General features: G+C 43.2%; 1 pseudogene; it reads left to right on the forward strand.

The window, feature by feature from the left end:
- BOLA3P4 (bolA family member 3 pseudogene 4) lies at nucleotides 3,597-3,996 on the forward strand (annotated as a pseudogene).

Raw genomic sequence — 4,976 nt, forward strand, 5'->3', positions numbered from 1 at the left:
ATTAAAATTTTTAATATTTTTATCTTATTTCTAGGGGACTATTTCATTCTTTTGTTACTCATCAAAGTCAAGGGCTGAATGTAGGCTACCAGCCCACAATAAAGGATCACAACTTCTTAAATTTTAATATTTGTTTATTATACAAATATTTATGTTAGAGAAAAACTAGAAAACAAAGACAAGCCAAAAATAAATATAGGCTGGACACAGTGGCTCATGCCTGTAATCTCAGCACTTTGGGAGGCCGAGATGGGTGGATTGCCTGAGATCAGGAGTTTGAGACCAGCCTGGCCAACATGGTGATGCCCCATCTCTACTAAAAATACAAAAATTAGCCAGGCGTGGTGGCACATGCCTGTAGTCCCAGCTACTTGAGAGACTGAGGCAGGAGAATCGCTTGAACCCAGCAGGCGGAGGTTGCAGTGAGTCGAGATCACCCCACTGCACTCCAGCCTGGGCAACAGAGCAAGACTCCATCTGAAAAAAAAAAAAAAAGAAAGAAAAAAGAAATATAATTGTTTTTAAAACAACCATCATCCCTCCACCCAGAAATAACCCCGGGTAACATTCTGGTGGGTCCATCCAGATTTCTTTATTTTTGCAAGCATAAAATTTGTTTGTTGCATATTTTCAGCAGCAATGTTAAAGATATCCAACACTTAAAGAGTGATATCAAGAACTGCAGGACTGGCCAGGTACAGTGGCTCATGCCTGTAATGCCAGCACTTTGGGAGGCCAAGGCAGGCAGATCACTTGAGCTCAGGAGTTTGAGAACAGCCTGGCCAACATGGTGAAACCCTATCTCTACTAAAAGTACAAAATTAGCTGGGCATTGTGGTGGGCACCTGTAATCCCAGCTACTCGGGAGGCTGAGGTGGGAGAATCACTTGAACCCAGGAGGCAGAGGTTGCAGTGAGCTGAGATGGCACCACTGCACTCCAGCCTGGGCAACAAAGCGAGATTCTGTCTCAACAACAACAACAAGAACAACAACCAAAAAAAAAAAAAGAATTGCAGGACTGTAGAATTTTAGCCCTAGAAAGGAGCTTAGAGACTGACCAACAGAGTTACCTCATTTTACAAAGAAATAGGAAACAAAAGCTAAAAGAGCGTATGTTTTAGGTAATAAGAAAACCAGGCCTTGAGCATCAAACAAATCAGAAGAGAGAATGCTGAAGGTCAAATCAAACAGAATGATGTTGGGATCACTTGTGTCCCAGTATGGTCTATGGTTAAGAGGGCAGGCTCTTAGCCAGGATGCCTGGGTGTGAATCAAGGCTCTGCTGTGCACTTATTGGCTACTTGACCTCAATCTAGTTACCCAACTTTTTAAGCTTCATCTGTATTATTGCCTATTTATAGATTAAACCAGGATTAAAATTTACAGATTTATAGATTAAATCAGAATTAAAATTAAATCAGTCAGAATTAAAGGAAATAATTCAAGTAAACCACAGAAGAAGCACTTATCGTTGATTACAATTACCACCGTTACAGTGAAAGAGATCCAAGTTTCCCCGAGTTACTGGCAGCATATCTGTATGGGTCCAAAATTCAACCGAGGGGCATAAAGCAGAAAAGAGACCAAGCCAAGTTTCAGAGAAGGAGTGGAAGTTTATTTAAAAGCCTTTAGAACAGGAAAGAAAGGAAAATTAGCTTGAAAGAGACCCAAGCAGGCACTGAAGGTCCAAGAGAGAAATGAGAGCAAAAGAAGACAGCAAAAGGGGCCTTTGACCTTGATCTTTATAGGTTCGCCTTTATAGGGGACTATATAGGCTCGCCTCTCTCCCAGGATTCTTCCCTTAGGGTGGGCTTTCCGCATGCCCATGCTTTCCTTACTCTTTGGAATTGAGCACACACAGTGAGTTTAGGGAGTTGTACACATGCCCATCTGAGGCTTTCTTCCTTTTCCAGTGGAGGGTGCCCCCAGAAGATCATATTTCACCATTTTTGTCTCTTAACACGCATGCCCAGGAAGTTGCTTCTCCCTGGGGCCTGCATTCAATTAGCATTTTGATGTTAACAGGTGTGAACCATCAGGAAATGGCCTCTCCCTGGCGCTGCCAAATTATAAGTTTTAGAGAAGCGATGCAATAATTGCCAAACCATCACCCGACATTTCTAGTGGGTGGAGGGAGAGCCCTCTCCTGCCCCACTCATGCCTAACTACCTGTAGCACTGTTACTAATACATCATCTTCATAACAAAGGAGAATAAAGAGTGAAACCTGTTCACAACATTTTCTGTGCTTGCCCTGGACTTTGAACTGCTCATCCAAGGTTCTCTGAATGTTTGGAAGTAGTTTAGCCTAGTGGTGAAATTCCTAAATTGTCGCCTTTCTCTACTTCATTTCTATCAGTGGGTCATTCCTTCACTACTAGAACATTTGACCTGCACAGCACAGGTAAACATAAGACTTAGAATCCCTAGGCAAGGCCATACCTGGTGGGGAGGATTCCGGTCCTGACAGCATAGGCATGAGAGTTGTCTGAAGCAGACACCATATAGGGCATGTTGAAGGGCTCGCACTGACTGCACTCACAGGGGGCCTCTGGATCCAGGCCATCTCTAAGCCTGGAAAGAAACAGAGCCGGTGAAGATGCTTTATTTCACTCTGCACACCAGACCACCATGATCAGGTTTTGAGAGGAGGATTTTTAATGGCATGCTGTATGGAAAACCACTGGTTATAGAGTGTTATCCAAATATCAGTACTATCCTCATTCCGTAAATGTAGGGGTCCCATTAATTTACTCTCAAAGGGATATATTTCCAGGTGTGGTGAGGAGGCCAGCCAAGGCTACATTTCCTAATTCCTGATACCTCTCCTCCCAGTCTCGCTCTAGTTTCCACCATTTGTTAAAAGTTTACTGGCTGACAGGATTTTTCTAATTTCTAATTTTCAGAAAAGCAAAATTTCCTTACAACATGTGATCTCTAGAGAGCAAATGCTCCAACTGTGCTCCTTACAGCTTATCTTTGGAATTACCAACATAAGAACATGATTTTCCCTAGAGATTTTAATGCTGACTCCAGAGACTCCATCTAGCTCATCTTTGAAATCACAGTGTGAAGCATAGGGCCACAGTCAATGTTCATTCGGCCAAGACTACATGCTTGGCACTGAGCTAGTCTGTGATTTCAAAATTAACACACAAATGACCAAACATATAACTCAAAATTAATATAACCCACTCTTTGGGCCTCCAGGTATGACTACAGATCCGATGCAAATCATTTGTGAGTATTTCTGATGCATTAAAAATCATTTTTTAAAGATGCTCAATAATACAACATTAGGGGAAAGCTGGGGAAATTTGAATAAGGTCTGCAATTTAGTTACAAGCATTGTACGAATGTTAATTTCCTGGTTTCATGTCCTGGTTAATTTCCTGTCAATGTTAATTTCCTGATTATGTAAGATGTTAACAGGGGTAGCAGGGTGAAGGGTATAAAGGAACTCCATTTAATTTTTGCAACTTTTCTTTAAGTCTAAAATTATTTCAAAATAAAAGGTCCAAAAATTCTTTTAAAAAGGATGCTCAGCTTTCAGGTGGCCCAGTGGCCTAGGGCGGCGGGCTACATCAGTCAGACACAGAGATGTGGAACCCTGCCCTTGTAGCTCCTCTCCACGCAGGATCTGCAGGCTTCCTCTTCTGCACTGTGTTCATTGAATGTTTGCCTCCCAGACTGACGGGGAGCTCAAAGGGACCCAAATTCTCAAAGAGAAGTTTTCTGGAGCTACAGCTATCCAAGTCACTGACATTTCAGGAGGCTGTAGGTGATGTATAAAATCCAAATCAAACCAGAAGAATTTAAAGAAACAAGAACTGTCCCTCAGCACCAGATGATTAATCAGGCACTAAAAAAGGAAAATCAAAGGGATGCACAGATGGTGGGTATTTACCTCTGTCCCCAGACACTGACCTCCATGCCCCCGGGGCTGTGTAGATGCAGCTGCCTAAAACTTCGGATGAACTTGACTGGAACCACTCTTTCCTACGCATTTGCAAAAAAAAAAAAAAAAAAAAAGTATCTGTTTTGTTCGTAGACATTTCCATACTACAATTAAAGAAGAATGTGTTATCTATTTAGAGGTTAATTAAAGGCAACAGACAACTGGTGGAGGAGAGAGGTGGGAAAAGATGTTCAACTCAAAAAACAGATGGAGATCTGAGCATAGGTGTCTGAAATGACTAAGGAAATGTAAAACTGGGACAAATCTCATTGGTGCTAGAAATTAAGGAAAGGTACCATCCATGAGCCAAAAAATTATTCTAGAGATAATGATATTGGTAGCCAAAATGAAGAAAGGGGACAAAAGCCAATGTCCAACTGACGTCTCATAGAAAATTAGTGTGTCTGGTGGGAAGGACTTAGAGGAGAACCTGAATCCCCTCAACATCCACTCTCTCGGAGGAACTTTAGAGCAGTGGATCTAAGGGCCTAAGAAGGTAGGAGGGCTGGGGGCCCAGGGCATAAGCTTCAAACCAGAGCAGCAGCAGTGGAAGCAGGAGGCACATCTTCCCAGTGCAGCAAGGCTCAGCCCCGAGACAGCAACAGCAATGTCCAGAAGAGGCTGGGCAGGACACAGGGCATTTCCTTCCCTGAAAAAGCTGGCAGGAGCGTGAGGAAAAAGCCCGGCGGCAGCAAGTCTGACTCCCAGCACAGTCATTTCCTCAAACGAAGACGGTTGTGCCATATGTCCCACCAGGCCTGACCAAGGCTTAACAGCCTACACATTTCTCTCAGGCTGTGCCATCGCTGAGCAAGGAACCAGCCTCCAGCTCCAGTTAGGAGGGAGATCCTAAAAGCATCTAGAAGTGAGAATACCCAAGAAATATCCTTACAACACCATCTTGGATAGAATCTCATAGATCAAGTTTGAATAAAAACAAACAATAGCCGGGCACGGTGGCTCACACCTGTAATCCCAGCACTCTGGGAGGCTGAGGCGGGTGGATCACCTGAGGTCG

This window comes from Homo sapiens, chromosome 9, assembly GCF_000001405.40.
Source record: "Homo sapiens chromosome 9, GRCh38.p14 Primary Assembly".
Lineage (NCBI taxonomy): Eukaryota > Metazoa > Chordata > Mammalia > Primates > Hominidae > Homo > Homo sapiens.